General features: G+C 36.7%; 1 protein-coding gene and 1 long non-coding RNA gene across 13 annotated transcripts, besides 6 other annotated features; one reads left to right on the forward strand and one right to left on the reverse strand.

Moving 5' to 3' along the window:
- Positions 610-1,129: an enhancer, noted in NCBI's record as "H3K27ac hESC enhancer chr7:107383176-107383695 (GRCh37/hg19 assembly coordinates)". NCBI's record gives its function as "activates a minimal SCP1, AML or CMV promoter by ChIP-STARR-seq in primed H9 embryonic stem cells {active_cell/tissue: H9 hESC(primed)}" and the evidence as "EXISTENCE:reporter gene assay evidence [ECO:0000049][PMID:30033119]".
- Positions 632-2,460, reverse strand: CBLL1-AS1 (CBLL1 antisense RNA 1). 4 transcript variants are annotated; one of them, NR_144537.1, is made up of 2 exons: positions 2,252-2,460; positions 632-1,282 (listed from the first exon to the last, which is right to left on the reverse strand). It is a non-coding gene; the product is annotated as a CBLL1 antisense RNA 1 (long non-coding RNA). The 4 variants fall into 4 exon arrangements; NR_144540.1 differs by lacking the exon at positions 2,252-2,460 and adding an exon at positions 1,938-2,017; NR_144539.1 differs by lacking the exon at positions 2,252-2,460 and adding an exon at positions 1,812-1,937.
- Positions 1,130-1,648: an enhancer, noted in NCBI's record as "H3K27ac hESC enhancer chr7:107383696-107384214 (GRCh37/hg19 assembly coordinates)". NCBI's record gives its function as "activates a minimal SCP1, AML or CMV promoter by ChIP-STARR-seq in primed H9 embryonic stem cells {active_cell/tissue: H9 hESC(primed)}" and the evidence as "EXISTENCE:reporter gene assay evidence [ECO:0000049][PMID:30033119]".
- Positions 1,130-1,705: a biological region, named in NCBI's record as "H3K27ac hESC enhancer GRCh37_chr7:107383696-107384214".
- Positions 1,506-1,705: a silencer, noted in NCBI's record as "silent region_18541". NCBI's record gives its function as "represses an Ori minimal core promoter by ATAC-STARR-seq in GM12878 lymphoblastoid cells {active_cell/tissue: GM12878}" and the evidence as "EXISTENCE:reporter gene assay evidence [ECO:0000049][PMID:35858748]".
- Positions 1,746-1,965: an enhancer, noted in NCBI's record as "active region_26495". NCBI's record gives its function as "activates an Ori minimal core promoter by ATAC-STARR-seq in GM12878 lymphoblastoid cells {active_cell/tissue: GM12878}" and the evidence as "EXISTENCE:reporter gene assay evidence [ECO:0000049][PMID:35858748]".
- On the forward strand, positions 2,021-19,546 carry CBLL1 (Cbl proto-oncogene like 1). 9 transcript variants are annotated; one of them, NR_024199.3, is made up of 7 exons: positions 2,021-2,055; positions 6,759-6,926; positions 10,424-10,496; positions 11,290-11,390; positions 11,774-11,857; positions 13,297-13,370; positions 16,022-19,546. NR_024199.3 is itself a non-coding variant. In XM_017012643.2 (6 exons), the coding sequence occupies exons 1-6, from the start codon at positions 2,189-2,191 to the stop codon at positions 17,055-17,057; spliced, it is 1,596 nt and encodes a 531-aa protein (XP_016868132.1). In that variant the 5' UTR covers positions 2,021-2,188; the 3' UTR covers positions 17,058-19,546. The 9 variants fall into 9 exon arrangements, 8 of the variants coding, with proteins under 8 accessions (XP_016868132.1, XP_047276811.1, NP_079090.2 ...); XM_017012643.2 differs by lacking the exon at positions 10,424-10,496 and having other exon boundaries at positions 2,021-2,321; XM_047420855.1 differs by lacking the exon at positions 10,424-10,496 and having other exon boundaries at positions 2,021-2,321; positions 11,293-11,390.
- Positions 2,316-2,495: an enhancer, noted in NCBI's record as "active region_26496". NCBI's record gives its function as "activates an Ori minimal core promoter by ATAC-STARR-seq in GM12878 lymphoblastoid cells {active_cell/tissue: GM12878}" and the evidence as "EXISTENCE:reporter gene assay evidence [ECO:0000049][PMID:35858748]".

The following is a 21,447-nucleotide window of genomic DNA, read 5'->3' on the forward strand; positions in this document are numbered from 1 at the left end:
CCTGGATTTCCATGAATCTGAAGGTTAACCGTTAGCTGATAGGCTAAGTATGATAGAACAAAAAAATCAAAGCCAGTGGTGGTGATGAGCATCTGTAGTCCCAACTACTCCGGAGGCTGAGGCATAAGGACCCCTTGAGCCCGGGAGTCCAAGGATGCAGTGAGCTATGATTCTGCCATTGTGTTCCAGTTTGGGCTGCCCCATCTCTAAAAAAAATTTTTTTAATATGAAAAAGAAGTACTTTCTAAGTGAAAACTTAAAAAAAAAAAAAAAACCCAAATTGGTGAAAAATGCCTGACTATATCAACACTGTATTTAGAAAAATAGGGAGGTATGGGAAAAAGGTTAGGCAAGCCCCAATGCCCAAAACAATAATCCCAGAAACTGAAAGCATCTTGAAAACCACCTAGCAATACAGAACTTTACATTTAAAAAAAGCAGGGGTAATTTTGATTCACAAATGTCCTTAGTTGTGAATGTACCTAAAAACTTGTTTATAAAGCTGCATATATAGAGCAGAAAAATCTTTTACAAGATCTCAGGAAAATAATCACCAAATAACATGGTGCACTTAAATCGCACTGATCATCACAGCATGATTCACAAATAATACCGTACAACTACAAAGATATAACACATCGCTACACATACTTTATTTGCAATTCAGTACCATGAAAACATTTCTCTAAGAGGTCAATGTAATAATCTTTTATTGATATAGGAACTCTGGCACTGAAAGCTTGAATAACCCAAGGTAATGATGTCGTCACCAAGGGAGGACAAGAATAGAACCCAAATCCCTTGACTCCCAAGCTTGTGTTTTCCATTAATTGTGCTCCTTTCTATTCATCCAAGAGCATCAAGTGTAAAAGGCTGGAGAAAGGAGTGGACACAAATGAGCCAAGTCCGCAAGGTGGAGACTGCACTGAAGGTCCTAGGAATCGCCCCTTGGCACTTTCCTTTTGTGTTGGCTGAGGAAGATGAAAGCAGCAACAACCACAAACTCCTGGGACCAAGAACTGGAACTAGGTACTGCTTGTTGTGGTAACTCTCTTCCTCATTTTAGGCCTTTCCTTTTTAACCTCTCCTTCCGGCCAAGCCTTCGCGCTCTCTTCCCCTCCCTCGGTTTCTATCCGCTCCCGTTAGCTCCACTCCGCACATTCCTGCAAGGTGTCCCCGTTAAGAGGAGGCAGCTGCGCCGCACTGGCTCTCCACCCTCCATCCGGCCCTGGCGCCCAGTCGTCAGGTGTTCGAGAGGTTCGTAGCGTCACAAGCGCTCTCCCTAGAAAGTGAGTGGCAGTCAAGCATTATAAACGTGTTTCAACTGTAAAGAGACTTAAGAGATGGGAACCGGGGCATATACCAAGTTAGCTCTGCGTGGGTCTAGGTAGCTCGTCACGACAAAGCAAAATTTAGACAAGCGTTGAGACTTTCCTTCTAGCTCCGAGTTTCACAGCTCCGCCATCCCCTGAGCAACCTCCCACTGGAGGGCGCCTTCCGGAGCGCGCGTGTTTACACTTTTGCTACACCAGGCGGAGGAAACAAGCGCTCGCTGACCCCGGGGGATTCCAAACCGTTACTCCGCCCGCCGGGGTGGGGCCAGCGCAACGGCCGAGCCTGCGCAGCCAGCCGGCTCCGGGGGCCCCGCGCACTACAAGTCCCAGAAGGCAGCTCTCCGCGGGGCGGGCAGTCGCCTTATCTGCTTCTGGCTCATTTTTACCACTGCTCTCCCCTTCCCCGGTCCCCCTGGTGTCCTTTCCACAGTTAAAGGCTACTTTCTCTTGAAGCACATGAGGAGAAGCCTTAGCAACCTCAATACCGAAGTTCTTCGCGCGCTCGCTCTTTCTGCCTCCGCCCGAACTATGCCTGAGTCCCTCACAGGAGTTGGATAGTAGAGGCGAGAGAAGGAAGTCTTTGCAGGCCAAAATTGGGACAACCTGCTTGGACTTCCGCCTCCCGGCCTCCGGAAGGCAGTGCGCACGCGCTCGCTGCGACTCCGGCGCGGTTGACTTCCGCTCCCACTGTGCTCTGCGAGCCGAATCATGGATCACACTGGTAAGGAGGCGGAGGCAGTGGGGGTCCCGGTTCCAAGCCCCCTTGGCCGGCCTGGGGCTGGTCGCACAGCAGGCAAAAGGGATTATGCTCGCCCCACAACACTAGGGTGTGGCAGTGAGAAGAAATCTCACAGATGCCTTCCTGTGCCCGGCAGGGGCCTGCGGTTTCCTGGCCTACCGTCTGGTGTGGTACCTACCTCCTCCGTGCCGGCAACAACCGCTCCTACTCTGGTTCTGCTGAGCTCCGAGCCCGGACCAGTGGGCGATGTAGGCCTTCGGGAAGGGAGAGCCCCGGCTCTGTTTTATTTAGCCCAGCTGCTCTGGCCTACGTTATGGAGACTGGCGGGTAGATTGCGGTCTCCGAGTCGCGGAATCCTCTTTACGCTGGGAGTGGACGGGCGAGAATGGGTTGGAGACTTCCTGCTGTCTCAGTCAGCTTTGGGCGGGTGCTGCAGTGGTCACCCCCTGTCGTCTCTCCGATCCTTTATGGACTAGAGGGGTGAAAGAAGGGAGTCTGATAGAGTTTTTGGAATCAAACTCGGAGCAGTTTTTCTACCTAAACCAAAAGCATGCCCCGCGCTTCGGCTGAGGTCCTTACTCATCATTTGAGGGTATTTACAAAGAGGAGTTTAAAATCAAGGCATTCTCATACTTTTCTCCAAGTAAGAGTGGCTCCACCCTTTGTTATGTATTTTCTGGCTTTTGCTTCTTTGTGGTTCTTGGATATTGAATGAGTGCTCTTGGAGTTATGTGCCCCATACATTTATAGCGACCGTATCACAAATAGAGAAAAAAAGGCTTTTTCTTGAGTATTGAGTTGTCCTCACTCATCAGATATCTACTTGGTTATATAATTAGGTGTGTATGTTTATTTATGTAGGTGTGTATGTTTATTTATGCAAGATACATGCAGATATCTATAGGTCGGGAGATGGAAGATGGAATGGTAAACGAGACGGACCAGGTCCGTGATAGAACTTCTGTTTTATGGAGGAACACAGACAATACGTTCTTTTTTTTTAAATTTATTATTTTTTTAATGTTTGCGGATTATTTTGAAGAAAATAAACGAGTGCTGTGGAGAGATTCATAGGACGAAATTTCAGAGAGGGTTGTTAGGAATGGTCTTTGTGGAAGCTAAGATCTGATGGATGAGAAGAACCCAGCCCTGGGAAAAAAGCAAGAGGAAGAGCATTTCCAGCAAGTGCGAAGGCACTGAGGTAGGAAGATACAGTGAAGTCAGCTGCAGCCTCCTAATAGCCAGAGGGTAGGAGTCCTGAAGTGAGATTGGAAAGGAGGGCAGCAGGCACATCATTCAGGTCATTGAAAGCCGTGGTAAACGTTTGAATTTTAATTTAAGTGAATATGAAGCCATTGAACAGAAGTGGAGGAGGAACACAGTCTCTTAAAAAATACAATAGGCTGTTCTATGAAGAATGGTGTAAGAGAGGGAGGTAAGAATGATGGAAAATAGCTGATTGCAGTAGACGGGAAGGGAAGGTTGGTTTGGTGAAAATGAAGGAGAATGGGCAGCTTCAGTAAATACTCTGGTGGTGTTTGAAGGAATGTGAGAGAAAGGAGAAATGCCTAGGCTTTTGGTTTGAGCAACTAGGTAGGGTCCATTATTGAGCTGAGGAAAACTTGGGGCAGAAAACAATCTTTTTTTGTAGAGGTGAGACGGGAATTTGGGAACAAGTGTTTGGTCTTGGACTGCTAGTGTGAGATAACTACTGAGACACAGGAGAGATGCCAAGTGGAGATGAGAGGAAAGATCTGCACTGAAAATACGTATTTGGAAGTTAGTACCTTTATTTATAGCTGGTATTTTAAAGCATGAGGACAGATGAGACCACTTAAGAAGGGTGTGTTCAGAGGAGAAGCCGGCCTAGAACGAGGCTGTAAAGAATTCCAGTGTTTGGGAATTTATAGAGTTGAAACTGGGATTTTGATGTTAGAATAGCAAACATTCAACTTTAGGAAAGTAATTCTTATTTGAGCCCACTACTGGAATTATGAGTCAAGTTCCTGCCATAGTTTAGAGGCTATTATGTTAGGAAATCATAATAGGGGTGAGTGTAAAGAGTGTTTATTATCTTAATTCTTGAAGTTTAGAGATTGCCTAAGGAAGTAAAACTCATCTTAACATGAAAATACTCACGAATGAGCTGACCACTTAAAAAATTAGTTCCCTCTCAGATGTCCCTTCTGCTTAACACTAGCTTCTTACCTATTTTATTTTTTTTAAATGAATCAATCTCTTTGATGTTTAGTATCAGAAGACAGTATCAAATACTGTGCACTGATTGTGAAATAAAATTATAAACCTTGTAGAAGATTCTGGTTTTCATGAAATTCGTAAACATGAATTTGATAATTGTTTAAATCACAAAGGCTTTGACAAATGAGGAAATGCCACTTAGCTAGATAATTGAAGAATCATGACAGGATAGGCATCTCAAAAGAATAATTGTAATATTAAAGGATTAAGAGGTCCTTGGGGAAACAGATGAAACCCTTGAACATTATGCAAAAATGACCCATTTTATGATCATACCGAAACATTCAAATGTGAAAATGAAGGTGTTCTAATAGAATCTTGCCAGAAAAATTACTCCAAGGGGCTCCCCATTAACACTGGATTTATTCTTTGGTCATTCTAAGAATTAGCACTTCTGTAACTGTATCCCAGATTTTGTAAAAGATCCCAGATTTTGTAAAATATTTATTGGTTCTTTTTATTCAAGATAAAAAATCCCCAATCTTTTTTAAACTATATGATATGGAAGTGTTGTGCCTTTTTAAAGTGAATTTATCTGAAGTGGCCAGTAGTCCTTAGTCACTTTCTATGTAATATCTAAGAAATTTTTGTTGTTAAGGACTTTATAATTTGTTACTGTATTCAAAAGGAAATAGTGCTTTATGCTCTGATTCTTAATTTAAAAACAACAAAAAGCAAAAAAGTCCCAAAGAAACCCAGAATGTTATCATTATTAAATGCTGTACCTCATGAACTTGAATCTGTGAAGCAGAGTGGGAAGGGCCAGCCAGCTCTTGAAAGTGGTAGACTATGCAAGCAACAGTAGAGACCTCAAGTGTTCAGGATGGTGTGAAAAGGACTTGTAATGAAGTGTTGGTATTTTCATTATTCACAAAGGTAAAACGATTAAACCATTTTGATATTTGAATATTTAATATTTGAGGGACAGCATTGAACTGATTATATGTCTACAACGACTTGCTTTTTAGTTCATTGGAATGTCAGGAATACTTTTTGAGCAAGGAAAAAAGTCATTCATATTTCTTTTGGCCAATGCATTGCTTGTAAGTACTTTTACATACATAAGCAACTACAATGAAAACAGATCAAATACATTAATCAGCTTGTGAGTCTATTTAATGAAGTGTTGAAAGCTGATCAAGTTGGGTTAACCCTAACTCAAGATTCTAGCTAACCATGTAATTCCACCCCTCTTTGTTTTAGGATTAGCTGTTATAAGAGTAGTAAGTAGATTAAAATAATCGTTATGGACCCATTTTTAATTTTGTTTGGTATTTTGTTCAGAAAAAGTGCAAATGAATGTGAACTTATTGTGTGTCTGTAATCCTAGTAGCCTTGGAGGCCATTGGTACTAGCTTACTACTTCCAAATTTGGCTTTGCTGAATTTAATGTGGATGGTTTGGCTATCAGTCTTGACTGTAATATTTCCTGCAGGGGCAGTTATACAACCTTGTTCAATAACTTGTCATGTTTAAAACACTACAAATTAAAAAATACGTTATTTGTATTTCCTATTTTAAGCATTTTCCTTCTTTAGTAGGTCAAGTTAAATATTTTCTGTATTATATATTTTCATCTACTTGAAAAAAGGTAACTCTTAAGCTTTAGATGGAGTCAGTTCTATGAAATAATACTCCTGTTACTCATGGGACAAGAATTAATTTATTCTATAGACAATAACAAGCAAAGACTCCAGGGACTAGAAAGTGACACTTGTTTAGACCTAGTTGTAGTATAGGAACTTTGCATCCTCTTAAATTATAATTTTCCATTACAGTGCTGACTAAGAACTCAGTCACATGTTATAGCACAAATACATTATTGCATGTTTTTACTACTAAATGGTATAATGATTTTTACTATATTTCTGAATGATTTTTAGAATAATTATTTTGCGCTTAAGGAATAATCACATTTCTTAACTTCATTTTCAAACGCATTGTTTAATTTTGCCTTCATCAGTATTAGTAAGTTCAGTTTACTAAATTTATTTTCTGCTTTGCATGCTTGATGATCAGACATGGAGACAGGGATGGTTTTCGTTCTTTTTCTCCTTCTTACTCTTTTTCTTTTAAAAAATTCTCTTGTAGTTCAAGACAATGGTTCTTGGGTTCATTAATGGTTTCATGTTTCTGTAAACTTCTCTGGAATTATATGAAAAATTTTATTCACTTTTCTAGGGAGAGGTCCTATAACTTTTATCAATTTCTTAAAGGATTCTGTATCTCAAAAGGGGTTAAAAAGCATTGCCTTAAGTGTTGATCCAAAATAAATAAAATTAGCAGTTAAACTTAATGTAATATTGAAAATCAGAACCCAGATCTTTAACCTTGATAATGTTAGGTATGGTGTTTTAATACCTGTGGCAGAATAATCTTTAAAAAGAAAAACTAAAAGAAATTACAACTTTTTTTTCCTAACACAGACAATGAGTTACAAGGCACTAATAGTTCTGGATCCTTGGGTGGTCTTGATGTTCGCAGACGAATTCCTATAAAGCTCATCTCCAAACAAGCAAACAAAGCGAAACCTGCACCGCGAACTCAAAGAACTATAAACAGGATGCCTGCAAAGGCTCCACCTGGTGATGAAGGTAATTTGTTTAACTAATAGGTCCAACACTCTTTCTGTTTTATCTGATTGCTTCGGACAGTCTGTGTGATCTTATAGCTACCTCTTTTTGTCTTACATATTCTATTCATTCTTCAACCTTCTTGTTTGACTTCTCATTGTAGCACATTGTATTTTTATTTTCCTTTATAAATATTTTTTGATTTGGTTCCTTTTGTTGTTGAAAGCAATACTGCCCATTGTTCAGTAATCTCAACAGTATTGCAGAAAGCATAACATTAAAAGTAAAATCCTTCTATCCAAAGATAATCCCTGTTGACTTTTTTATACAAAAGTATTAATTTTTTATGTGTAGTTGCCATTTTTTCATGTAATATGCATTTGAGATTTTTTTCTTATCAGTACTTACAGATGTACCTCATTAAAAAAATAGGTTTGGGTATTTATAGATATACCATAATTTATTTAACAGTTTTTCCAGTTTTTTCTGTTACAAAAAACATTGCACCAAATATTCTTGGACATACAGTTTAGTATGTATACTTTGTAGAATTTGTACTTTGCACAGATTTGGCCTTTTTTTTTTTTTTAAGAGCAATTTGACAGTACTTGTCAAACTCTAAAATCCACAGTATCTGTCAAGTTTTAAAATATCCAAATTTGTAGTTTTAAAGGCTTTGGAATTAAAAAAATAATAATAAAAAGGTATGTTAGTTTTTACTGCCATACACCAATACTGAGTACTAGAAACCTTTTAAAATTTTTGTTTTGATGTAAATTTATTTTAATTATGAAAGAGTGTATATTTTTTCATAGCATTGACCATTCTTGTTTAGATCCTTTCTTCTGAGTTCTTTGTAAATTAATAGGGTTTTTGTTATATGTTATGTATGTGCGTGTGTGTATATATATTTTTTTGTTTGTTTGTTTGTTTGTTTTTGTTTTTTTGAGACTGAGTCTTACTCTGTTGCCTGGGCTGGAATGCAGTGGTGGGATCATGGCTTGATATTCCAGGCTCAAGTGATCTTTCCACCTCAGTCTCCTGAGGAGCTGGGACTACAGGTGCACCCCACCTGCCTGGCTAATTTTTTATATTTAATTTTTGTAGTCATGGGGTCTTGCTATGTTGCCCAGGCTGGTTTTGAACTCCTGGACTCAACAGTCCTCTTGCCTTAGCCTCCCAAGGTGCTGGGATTACAGGCGTGAGCCACTGTGCCTGGCCTATATTGTATATATTCTTCATTTGTCTTTTGAATTTTGTATACAAAATATTTATTGCAGAGAATCTTTTTTTTTTTGAGACAGAGTCTTGCGCTGTCACCCAGGCTGGAGTGCAGTGGCGGGATCTCGGCTCACTGCAAGCTCTGCCTCCCAGGTTCATGCCATTCTCCTGCCTCAGCCTCCCGAGTAGCTGGGACTACAGGTGCCCGCCACCACGCCCAGCTAATTTTTGTATTTTTAGTGGAGACGGGGTTTCACTGTGTTAGCCAGGATGGTCTCGATCTCCTGACCTCATGATCCGCCCGCATCGGCCTCCCAAAGTGCTGGGATTATAGTTATTGCAGAGAATCTTGAAGATTCTATATAGTCAGATATCCGGTCTTTGCTTTTATGACTTCTGGGTTTTGTGACATTATTTGAAAGGCCTTCCCCTATTTCACCAGTATAAAAGAGTTTTTCCATCTTACCCTTGATTACAGGTTAGCAAACTATGTCTGTGGGCCAAATGTAGCCCTGTTTTTATAAACAATTTTATTGGAACACAGCTATGCTCATTCATTTAAGTATTATCTATGGGGGCTTTCACACTATAATGGTAGAGTTGAGTAATTGTGATTGAGACCATATGGTCCACAAAGCGTAAATATTTACTATTTAGCATTTCACAGAAAAAGTTCACTGATACTGCTTTAGAACATTTATGGTTATTAAGGGGAAAAAAGGTGGGGTCTGGCTTTTTTTTTTTTCCCTCGAAACATTGTCCCAACTCTTTTCCTTGCTGAATAGGGATTTTACTGTTATCATATATATGTTAAAGCAGCAGTCCCTAATCTTTTTGGCACCAGGACTGGTTTCGTGGAAGACAGTTTTTCCACAGGTGGAGAGTGATGGCAGGGTGCGGGGAGTGGTTTCGGGATGCAACTGTTGCATTAGTTAGATTCTTGTAAGGAGCACCAACCTAGATCCCTCTCTTGCACGGTTCACAATAGGGTTTGCGTTCCTATGAGAATCTAATGAGGCTGCTGATCTGACGGGAGGCGGAGGCAGAGGTCAAGTGGTAATGCTCCCTAGCCCTTCCCTCACCTCCTGCTGTGTGGCCGCATTCCTAACAGGCCAAGGGTACTGGTCCAAGGCCTGGGAGTTGGGGACCCCTGTATTAAAAGTATTTTTTTGTATTTCTGGACTTTCTGTTCTATTCCAGCAATTTGTCTGTATTTATTTTGTAGAATCAAACTGCTTTAGTTACAACATATGTTATGGTTTCTTTTATCGTAGGGTTCCTCTGCCATCTAAACAAGTATATTTCAAGTCAAAATGTTAGAAATCGTGTTAGTAATAACCTAGGGCTGCTGTTGCACTACCTCTAATTTAGGGTCACTCCTGCTTTGGCTTTGTTTAAAAAAATAGTTTTTTAAAACAACACGTTAGTGTACAAATAATTCTTTAATAGTTCAAACAATGCAGAAAAGCCAAAATCCTTTTCTCTCCTTTCCCTCTCGGATTTTGGAGTAAAATAAGTTTGTTTTTGATTGTTGTTTTCCTAGGCATCAATCAAAATATATATAGTTTAATGATGGGAGTACAGGTGGAACTACTCTGAAAAATGATAATGTGCTCCTAATTTCCTTGGCTGTTATCTCAATAATTTTCTGGTTTGAAAAATTGAGTTTCTGCCAGGTGTGGTGGCTCACGCCTGTTTTCCCAGCACTTTGGGAGGCTGAGACGGGCGGGTCATGAGGTCAGGAGATTGAGACCATCCTGGCTAACACAGTGAAACCTCGTCTCTACTAAAAATACAAAAAATTAGCTGGGTGTGGTGGCGGGTGCCTGTAGTCCCAGCTACTCGGGAGGCCGAGGCAGGAGAATGGCATGAACCTGGGAGGTGGAGCTTGCAGTGAGCGGAGATTGCGCCACTGCACTCCAACCTGGGCGACAGAGTGAGACTCTGTCTCAAAAAAAAAAAAAAAAAAGAAAAATTAATTGAGTTTCCTTATTTTGAATTTTAGATCACACCAGCTTTTCTAAGGTGTAAATGGGTGATATAGGAGCCTAGGAACACTCAGGTGTAACTTATAAGAGCATCCTGACTTTGGATTATACATTCGTATTGGCAGTAATTAAATAGCAGTACACTGAAGTGTCTATCAGCTTCAAAAACTTCTTGCATCATTGTTTGTGTGTTAATGTGAATGTGTCTCTCTGTGTGTGTGTGTGTGTGTCTGTGTCTGTGTATAGGTGCTGTAATTTAGTCATGTGGGTAAAGTTAAAACTTGTGTGCTTGGCTACTCTGTTTACCAGTTCTAGGGCCAAAAGAGTCGTGAGAAGCCTGGCTCCTTGGAGGGATATATTTGTCTGCTCAGCTTTACTTTAGGTAATTGGATTCTACCTAGAATTCCCATCAGACTGTTGATTGGTTTTCTGTTCTTTTGTAGGAGTTGAGAAGATTGCCATCAACTTTTTAATTAGGCCAGAGAAATTGAGCCCCTTTCATCTTCATATATCTTAAGTTTATTGATATTGATAAATGCATTGTAGGAAAGGATACATGAGAATACGATATGGCTCCTGTTGTTTGGGTAATTAATCAGGGAGTGGTTTTAATTGACAGGATGAAATATGAATATGTTAAAGTGTCTAAATCACTCATTTTAGGGCTAAAGAAGAGGATAACTTGTTTGCTAATAAAATCGATAGAATGCTTTATGTTTTCATTATGCTATTGGCAATACAATCAGTCTCTTAGCATACCATTTTTGTAGCTAGACTAGAATAAATGGTGATCAATATCTTAAAAATTTGTGCAACAAGCATGATCATCAGTAAAGTTTTACATTAGAAATAGTTTCATGAATTGATAAGAGCATTTGAATGGGAGTCAAGAGATCTGAGGTCTGTTCCTGGCTTTGCCACTTATCTTCTATATGTTGAGTTATGAGTCTCCATACAGTAATATTCTCAATAATGAAGTAAAAGAGTTGGACTAGATCACCAAGATCACTTCTAACTGATGTTTTAAAGTAATCTTGATTGTCTTATTCTTAGAAAAGCTTTGAAAGGCATCAGATGAGCTTTTTAGTGAAAAGGTCTATTTTGCCATGTATATGTGCTTCCAAAATGAAATTTGAGATTTGGAAAGTTAATGGGCAATACTTTTTTTTTCTCAGAAGGATTTGATTATAATGAAGAAGAACGGTATGACTGTAAAGGGGGTGAGCTGTTTGCAAATCAGCGAAGATTTCCTGGACACCTTTTTTGGGACTTTCAGGTATAATTAAAAATGAAAAATTGTATTATAACAATAAAATATTTTAAGTATTAAATACTTAAAATGTTTTATTGGAGTAATGCACAGTACATTAAGAATATTATGAACTTATAACTATGATTTTCAGCACATACAAATCATTTGTTAATACTCTATTTTCAAGAATAATTTGAAGTAATTTTCAGTAAAATCAATAACTGTTAACACTAAGAAGAAAAACTAATGGTATCACAACTAATGGTGGGGAATAAATGGAGATTATACCAAGAGGCTTCTATTTCTAATTGTTTTAACAACTTTTATAAAATATTGACCAATTCATTGTGTAGATACAATCTTTAGAATTGTGTAAGAAGGTAATTTTAATTATATCATTTCAACAGATAAACATCTTAGGTGAAAAGGATGATACACCAGTTCATTTCTGTGACAAGTGTGGATTGCCTATTAAAATCTATGGGAGAATGGTAAGTATAATTAAATATTGTTTTTGTAAGTAAGCATTTGCATAGAGGTGGGGTTCTGAAATTTAGATAGGTTTATCATTGTTTAATGACTAAGTTTGCAAAATTTTAAATAAGTATGAAATAACTAAGGGAAGTATTGGAATACTATGAATTTAATATGATTATCTTGACAAATTGTTGAATTCTTATAAAATATTAAATAAAACTGAAAATTAGAATAATTTCTGAAAACTAATTCCTTTGGAGTGTTTGATACCAGTGAATTTACAGTTATTCTAGTTTATTAAGGAAATTTTTGTTTCTTAATAAATAGAACAAAACTGCTTATTTTTGAAGGCCACAATTTTTTACATAAAACTGCATTAATAATATTTATAATTTCTCTTTTTTTCCTGAGGCTCAGAGAGGCTTAATAGTAATTATTATTTCTGAAAATTGAATTATAATCATTAAAAAAATTTTACAATCCTAACTGTAATTTTATAGTAATTTTCACATTTCTTCCCTCCAAAAAAGATAGTTTTGCATTTGCCTTTAGAAAAAAAAAATTGAATTCAATAACATACCTGTGATGGTAGATGGCATGGATTATGCAGTGTTGCTTTGCTGAACATCATAGTAAAGAAATAGTAACAGGCTGTGAATTTAAAAATGTGCTTCTAACATCATTTAATGTATCCTTCTGATTGATTTTTAGATTTTTATTAGTTAATTAACTTGAAACTACCAGAGGAAGATGCTGCTTACGTTAAATATAGGACATACTTGTTATTTTACTGCATTGGAATAGTTTCAGGAGAAACAAGATTAAAAAAAAAACACACATAATTAAAAGTATTCTTCAGGAGTTTTTGACCTGCAGGGGGCTGGGTGTGGTGGCTCACACCTATAATCCCAGGGCTTTGGGAGGCTGAGGTGGGAGGATTGCCAGAGGCCAGGAGTTTGGGACCAGCCTGGACAATTTAGTGAGACCCTGTCTGTACAATAAAATAAAATAATTAGCCTGCTGTGGTGGCACACACCTGTGTTCCTCGCTATTCTGGAGGCTGAGGTGGGAACATCAGCCAGGAGTTTGAGGTTACAGTGAGCTGTGATCACACCACTGGACTCCAGCCTGGGCAACAGAGCAAGATCTGTTTCTTAAAAAAAAGGAAAAAAACGTGTGGGGACCATGGGTGAAATTTATAGGGTTTACACCTCCAGAAAGTATAAGCAAATGCATGTGTGTACATTTATTGGGAAAAGAGCCATAGTTTTTGTCATGTTCTCAAAAGGCTTTGTGATTGAAAAAGGTTATTATAATTAGTACTTAATAAATGTTCATTTTAACAGGTATTCTCAAGTGTCTTCTAAGCCTTATGTATAGGTTACTATATATATATATTTTAAAAATATTATAAGTTCTAATATGCTTAACTGTAATATGTCTTTGTTTACAGATTCCATGCAAGCATGTTTTTTGCTATGACTGTGCTATTTTACATGAAAAAAAGGGAGATAAGATGTGTCCAGGGTAAGATAAGATTATCATTACCTTTTTTAAATAATAAAGTTTTAGTGCAATGATTTATAAGTTGGATTAAAGGTTAGGGAGTGATGTAAATCAGGCAGGAGATGAAACATACAGACATGGCTAATCTTTTTCTGTGAGCCCAGCTTGTGTTAGGTTTCTCTTTAATATAGGGCAAGGTAGCCACTATCAGTCAACTCAAATTGGTCAAAATGAAATCTGTTTGCCATTATAGAAGTATTATTATAAACAAAAAAGTTACTTTTTTTAATGGGACATTAAAGAAGTATTAAGATATATTGAGAGCAAAGACTCCAGAATTAGAATTCCTGGGTTCGAATCCTTGTTCTGCTATTTATTAGCTGTTTTACTGTCATAGGCTATTCTTTATTGATAAAATGAGACTGATAATAGTACCTACCTCCTTGAGGTATTTTTAGGATTAAATGAGGTTTTATATATATATAACATATGTACACAGATACATATATATAGTAGCTGGCATATAGTAAGCACTGTATATATAAGCTCTTGTTACTTTCAAATCTGATTATTGTATTTGGAGTATGTCTTAGAACACCATCATTACATAGTCTCAAACAAGTTATAAAAAGCTAGGTCCATTTTGGGATGGTCTTGAAGAAAACAGAATAAGAATTTTTATATCAGTTCAGAATCGTTGATAAGGAAGGCTTAAGAAAGAATGAAAGATACTTGCTTGGAGTAGCCATAGGCTTCTTAGATCACTTATAACCTGTGCTTAAAGCTATACCAAGATTTGTGGTATTGATTGATAACAAAGCTGTGGACACTTGTCAGCAATGATTCCCTTTTATGGTGTAGGAAAATTTGACGTCACCAGGAGAGAAAGGGGTGATTTATTAACAGCTCAGTGACAACTAATTCTCTTGGCATGTTTTTATTAGCATTTTAAAGTAACAGATTATAACATTTGTTCTATGAATTTAAAAAATATTTTGTTTATAGAATTATAATTCAGAAGAATTAAGACATTAGAAATACATATCACTTGTTTTTTGGGTGTTTTCTCTCAGGCCTAATTTTTCAGCATGGTATACATTCATTTTAAGTTACATAGTAAATTTAATTGCTTCATCGGGATAAAGGATTTCAGATGTGATAAAACATTATTTAGAGGACTTTTAAAGGTTTCCTCTTTTGTATAAGTATTAAAAGGAAATTAAAAGGTACTTATTGTTTAAAGAAATTACTTCCCAAGGTACTAAATGTAACTAATGTACTGAATATTCTAATGTACTAACCTTACTAATGGACTTAAATGTAACAAAGTACTAAATGTCACACCTCACTTATGTGGTCCTTAGTAGCAATTTTAGGACAGAAGCCTATCTGGATTAACAGACCCAGATCAGGAAGTGAAGAAATGGCAGTCAGAGTTAAACAGTATATATTACTGTTCTTAAGCACCACCCAAGAGAAAGTGCTTCACATCTTGTTAAGGTGGAGATAGTTCGGAGTTTACAGTGAACTAGAAGCAAAAAGTGTGCCAGATGGCCACTAAAGGGAAGCATAATAACATCAATAAGGAGTGCCAGCCTTATAGTAAGGATGGAAAGATAGACACAACTCAAAATCAAGAGTATAGAGCCATTTAGTATAGTGTCAAATGACCTGACACACATATTCAATGATAATTGCTTATATATGTACACACACATATATTTATATATAGTGCTTAATTGGGGATTAAATACTGTCACTTTCATTGTTTCATTTGATATTAATATTCTTTTAGGTAATATGAAATAGATATAAAAACATTGTGAAGTAGGTAGATACTTTAACCTCATTGTATAAATGAAGAAACAAACTCAAAAATGGTTCAATGACTTCAAATTACTGAGCCAATACCAGATCCCAAGATCTTCAGATTCCTATTTCAGTCCTCTTTCCCCACTGTGTCAAGAAAGCTGTAATGGCAATTATGGATTAAATATGGTAAATGAAAAATAGTTATAATTTTGACCCTGAGTTTTTAAGAAAATGTTAAGTTAAATTTAGTGCTCACAAATTAGAAAGTTAGCAAAGTGTAAATTTGTCTGACAGTTCAGAAAAAACCCTTCTTTAAAGGACTTTTAGTAGTCAAGGCTTGGATTGAAATTGTTTGTTTAATGTTAAGAACCCTAATGATGAGGCTGATGTTACTTGTTGTAGTCCTTGCAATGTCTTCTACTTACTGTTTTCCACTTAGTATTATTTGCTCAACAAACAGTTATCACTCAATAATACCATACTAGTTTGAATTCCATGATTGTAAGTAATCTACCCGTTGGTTTTTTTCTTGCTGGGTTTTTTGGCAAATGGATGCAGAAGGTACAATTGTTTGAGAAAACTGGATAAATTCTAGGCCTTGGGAAGAATGAGGTCTCTTCTTGAAACATACCGTTTGATATTAGGAGTTCTGAAGTTGACAGAAATGCCTATCTTAATGGCTAACAGACAACAAAGTAGGGAAGATTAAAGGTTTGCGTAGAATAACTGTAACTTCTAATTGTGGACTTTTGCTATGTTTTATGTAACAGTCAAATTTTAAAAACAAGCATATTTTTGAAAATTACATAATTTTTTGTATTCTCTTTTAGTAAATCACATTTCTTTCCCTTCTAATTTAGCTGTAGTGATCCTGTGCAGCGAATTGAGCAGTGTACACGAGGTTCTCTCTTCATGTGTAGCATTGTTCAAGGGTGCAAGAGAACATATTTGTCTCAGAGAGACTTACAGGCTCATATCAACCATCGCCATATGAGAGCTGGAAAACCTGTTACCCGTGCTTCACTTGAAAATGTTCATCCTCCTATTGCCCCACCACCAACTGAAATCCCTGAGCGTTTTATAATGCCACCAGACAAGCACCATATGAGCCATATTCCGCCAAAGCAGCACATCATGATGCCACCACCTCCTTTGCAACATGTGCCACATGAGCACTATAATCAGCCACATGAGGATATTCGTGCTCCTCCAGCAGAATTGTCCATGGCTCCACCTCCACCTCGATCGGTCAGTCAGGAAACCTTTCGTATTTCAACAAGAAAACACAGCAATTTAATAACCGTCCCTATTCAGGATGACTCAAATTCAGGTGCTAGAGAACCACCACCTCCTGCCCCAGCACCTGCTCACCATCATCCTGAATATCAGGGTCAACCAGTGGTATCGCACCCTCATCATATTATGCCTCCACAGCAACATTATGCACCACCCCCACCTCCTCCACCACCAATAAGCCATCCAATGCCACATCCTCCCCAGGCTGCAGGTACTCCTCACTTGGTATATAGCCAAGCTCCACCTCCACCAATGACCTCTGCTCCACCACCAATAACCCCTCCCCCTGGACATATTATTGCCCAGATGCCACCTTATATGAATCATCCTCCTCCAGGACCTCCCCCACCTCAACATGGTGGTCCACCTGTAACTGCACCCCCTCCTCACCATTATAATCCTAACTCATTACCCCAGTTCACTGAAGATCAAGGAACTCTGAGCCCTCCATTTACACAACCAGGGGGAATGAGTCCTGGTATATGGCCTGCACCAAGAGGGCCACCACCACCTCCACGATTGCAGGGTCCGCCTTCTCAAACCCCACTTCCTGGACCACATCATCCAGATCAGACAAGATATAGACCGTATTACCAATGATAATAGTATTTTGAATGGAAGATATGAGGGGGAAAAAAACTTATGTGTAGTCAATCTTTTAAGCTTTGACTGTTTTGGGAAGGAAGAGTACCTCTTATCGAGGTAGTATAAAACACATAGGGTCTTGTTTCTTAAAATGGTTTTAAATCTTGACCTTAAGATTGATTTCAAGTACCATACTGTAGTACAGATAAGTGGCTCAGTTGAGCACAGCTATATTTTAACATCTCTTTGTTCCCCTAGTTTAGTAAATTGACCCAGAGGTGACCATTTGTAAAAAATTTGAAAAAATTTTTCATTGTTTTACTTCAAAAGTATTGTTTTGTTAAACCCAACGTTTAGTTTTTCTTGTGATACATTTTGTTAACCTGTGTAAAAGGATTAAATTTCAATATGGTTGTAAAAATGCTATTTTTATGTGAATTTAAGTGCAGCCACATACTGTTTTTTAAACCATATGTTTTACCACTAATTTCCCAAAGTTATAATAAAATCCTGAAAGTAAAAATCTACTAGAATTTGCTGTAAGGCAGACTGTTAAATGATAGAGAATTATTTCACATTTTAGGCACTGAAATGTTGAGGTTTCGAGGTATAGTAAGTATACAATGCACTTCACTTGGATGCCTTTTCATTTTTAGGCAGCCTCAGGAGCACCAAAATACATTGGAATTCTAGTACTAAGATATATTTGTTCGTAATGTTAAAAGACATTACTAATTATTTGGAAAGAGATGGCCAAAATAATCAACTCTACAGGCTTCAAGCTGGTGGGGGAATGCTGTTACTCATTAATGCTTTTTTACTGAATGGTCGGAATCACATATGCACCACACATACTGATCTTAAGTAACATTATTTTATAGAACTGTTTAAATGGGTTTAAATGGTGTTCTTTAGATGAAATGTGTTCTGTTTTGTTCATTGTCTTAAACTGAATAGGGCTGAATAGGCTTTATGTAATTCTTCATTTCATGGTAGAGTTTGATGCTGTGTTTAAGTGGGTTCTTGTTTATAGGATTTTCAACTACAGTTTGAATGCCATGGAGGAATTTGAATAATATATTAATGAAGGACATATTCTTGTAATCACAAATTTGCATTTGCTCAGGTTTCATTGCTGTGTGATAGGATTTTTCCTCTAACTTGAAATTTAAAAACTTTTATTTCCTATTCCTTTTGTCGGTAAAGCAGTCTGAATTTGGAACATTTTATCATGGAGTCAACAGTGAAGACTACCAGATAATTTTGTATTGGAGAAGAGGAAATAACAGCTAAATTGTGGATTTCAGTGCTTTACATGGTGCCTTTCGAGTCAGCTTTTACATTATAGGGGCTTGTTATAGTTTAGCTAAGATGACCACTTAACAGTTTATACAGAACTCATATGTATAAATCAACATTCTTAGGATATTATTTATATCCTTTGAATAAATCCCTGTGAAGTTTTTCCTCCCCACTAAAATGGTGCATAATAAAACATGAAATATGTAGTATGCAGATATCATTTATTAGATAGTTTGTAGTGTATACATTTAGAACATACTTCTTTTGACAAAGGGTGATCTGATTGCTAATTTACCATTTTATTCTGTCAGGTACAGGTGAAACAAATTCTCATCTTGAATGATCAGATGCAAAATCATTTCTGAACCCTAGAGCAGAAGTTAGAAATAACAAAATGGCCGTTTCAACCTTGACTGGCCAAAAATAACTAATAAACTTTTTTGTTTTAAGTCAGGCAAGTGATTTTCTACATTTAGCAGTTTGAAAGTCCAGTGTTAATGCAATATTTCTAGTGAGAAATGCTTGTTATTAAAAGCATGGGAGTGATAGTGTGAAATGGTGGTGAGTGCTTCTATCATATTACTGTAGGTACTTGGACTGGTGCAAACTTGATTCCTTTTCATCCCCCTGTTTAGGAGCTATTAAAATATTACTGTTAAAAATCCAAACCATTCTTTGTTCCATGTAATAAGAAAATAGCCAAAATCACTTTAGAGCTTCTCAACTATTTATGAAGAGCTATCCTGCTTTTATTGAAAGTCACTAGAGTTGAATGTGGTAAGAAACCACTTAGCCTATGTATTGGACGAGAAAATCAGTATCATGATAAAATTTTGAATTAAGAGAACCCTTGTAGAGTTTTTAAAAAATGATTTATTTTCAATTAGGTTTAAGAAATCTATGTTATGCAGGGAGGCATATCAGATGAATGTTGTAGCAGACAAAAGTTTTAAATCGTGTTAGACTTGAATTCATCAATTGTTTGAATGAGGGTGGGTGGGTAGAAGGATAACAAAATTACTGTTAGTGTTTCTTTCCTTACGGAAAAAGATGTGAATCCCAGCCTTATTTCAGGGAAGCCTTTGAAGCTATGATGGACATAAGTCTAAATTAAATGTATGTATGTTTCATTATATTGCTCTTAAGACTACTGAGGTGGCAGTTTAATTCTTAAAAACAATAAAATGGAAGCATAAATACTATTTTGCCTAGATGAATTTTTATGTTTTGGCACATCTGGGAGAATGCAGAATTTTCCATGTTTATATTGATACAACTTTCTACAGTAAAAGTAAGTTCACTTCTAAAAGATTAAAACCATCAAGTTGAATGTCATATTTCTTCATTGGCATGTTTATTCAGAGTATAATACAGTATTTGGGGAAATATCTGTTGCAAAGACTGTAAGAAACTATATTCATTTTGCCTTGTAAAAACTACTTGCTCAAAATTATCATGTAAATACTAATTAGATACCACTGAAATGTAAATGGAAGAGATACTTGAACATATCTTTTAAAGTCAATAAGAGGCTGTATGAAGTATACCGAACTGCCGAAGGCTTTGTTCTGACTAATATATTGGAAGAGTATCTTTTGTAATCTTTTTGGGAAAACTCTACAGTTCCGTCTTTCATTTTTTGAAAATGCCCCATATTATGAGTACATGAAAAAAGTGCATGAGTACTCAAAGATATTTCTTCATTAGATTAGCCGTCAAATTAGTATGTTGATGTTAAGCATATATAAACATACTATATTCTGACTGAAGTGGACTTACTCTTCATACTAATATAAACATACTATATTCTGATTGAAGTGGACTTACTACTCTTCACTGGTTTGTAATTTGCTAAATTATGGCCTAGAAACCAATCAGTTTGCTTAATACAGTATATGTGTAATCAAAGCAGTATCAGATACACTAGGCTTAACGAGAAGTGGAGATAAGCCAGGTAAAATACTTGGCAGTGATGCTAATAAAACCTAATTTGGATTTTTAAACACCTTGTTTTGATTCATGTCCCTTCAGTTTTCCATCATTGAGGGAAAAAGTTTTAAGGCAGAATTCTTAACACTTTAGTGCTTAATTTTCCCACATCCCCATCTTTAAAAATTTTGTATTTTTTGGCACTGTAGAAGCACAGGATTGAAACGAACAATAATAAGTCATGGGTTTAGTTCTCCAAATTGGGTAGGACTTCTTTAAAAAAAATTTATTCACTTAAAAATGTTAAAACTTTTTTTTTTTGGTAAAAGGATTATTCTGACTGTGTGATAAGACAAAGGAGGCTAAGATGGAAGCAGAGGGACCAGTTAGTAGGGTGTTTTAATAATTTACACAAGAGATGATGGTGGTAACATTACAGGTATCAAGAAGTGGGAAGTGGGTGACTTGTGGAAGGATATACATAAAGATACATATATATGAATTATTGATTTATAAAGTTAAATACCTATTATATATGTTAGATGTGGGTGTATGATAATGAACAAAATAGATGGTCTCTGCCCTTTAGGAGCTTACATTCTGACTTACTTAGGAATTGTTCTTGATAGTCGTCTTTAAATTTTCTTCAAAAATTTTCCTTATATTCAAAGTATTGTGGCCAGGACATAAATCTTAATGTTTAAAAATACATTACCAAAATACATACAAAACCATGAGAGAAAATGTATTTAATTCTGAACATTACTATTTCCTAGCAGCTTTTCTGGATATAATTGTACAATGCTAAATTAGTGAGTTTGGAACAAATCTGTGGAATGCACTTATAATTATTCCTGAGTTTAGTCCTATCTTGTAATCAGTTTTTATTTAGGTTTTAATTTCTTTTGAGAAGTGATGTTTTCTAATATTTAAAAGCCTGGGTTGTATAGAGTTAGACTGTCCAGACAGATTTCTGGCTTTACCACCTGTGACTATCTAATTTAGACTAGTTACTTGCTCTTTGAGTCTTCATTTACTTTGTTTTTTTAAAAAATAGGGGAAATCTTAGTACTGACATTATTGGGGACTCTTTTGACAGTTAAATGACTATATTTTAAAAAGAGAGTCAGTAGGATTTCCTGGTGGATTTTTTGGCTTGATCAGCTTAAGAAAA

Source organism: Homo sapiens, chromosome 7 (assembly GCF_000001405.40).
Source record: "Homo sapiens chromosome 7, GRCh38.p14 Primary Assembly".
Classification (NCBI taxonomy): Eukaryota; Metazoa; Chordata; class Mammalia; order Primates; family Hominidae; genus Homo; species Homo sapiens.

Excerpts from the sequence above, each read along its gene's own strand:
- CBLL1 (XM_017012643.2), top strand. The coding sequence starts at position 2,189 with ATGCCTTCCTGTGCCCGGCAGGGGCCTGCGGTTTCCTGGCCTACCGTC. Across the intron at positions 11,858-13,296 it reads TTAAAATCTATGGGAGAATG|ATTCCATGCAAGCATGTTTT; the intron begins GTAAGTATAATT and ends CTTTGTTTACAG. Across the intron at positions 13,371-16,021 it reads GGAGATAAGATGTGTCCAGG|CTGTAGTGATCCTGTGCAGC; the intron begins GTAAGATAAGAT and ends CTTCTAATTTAG.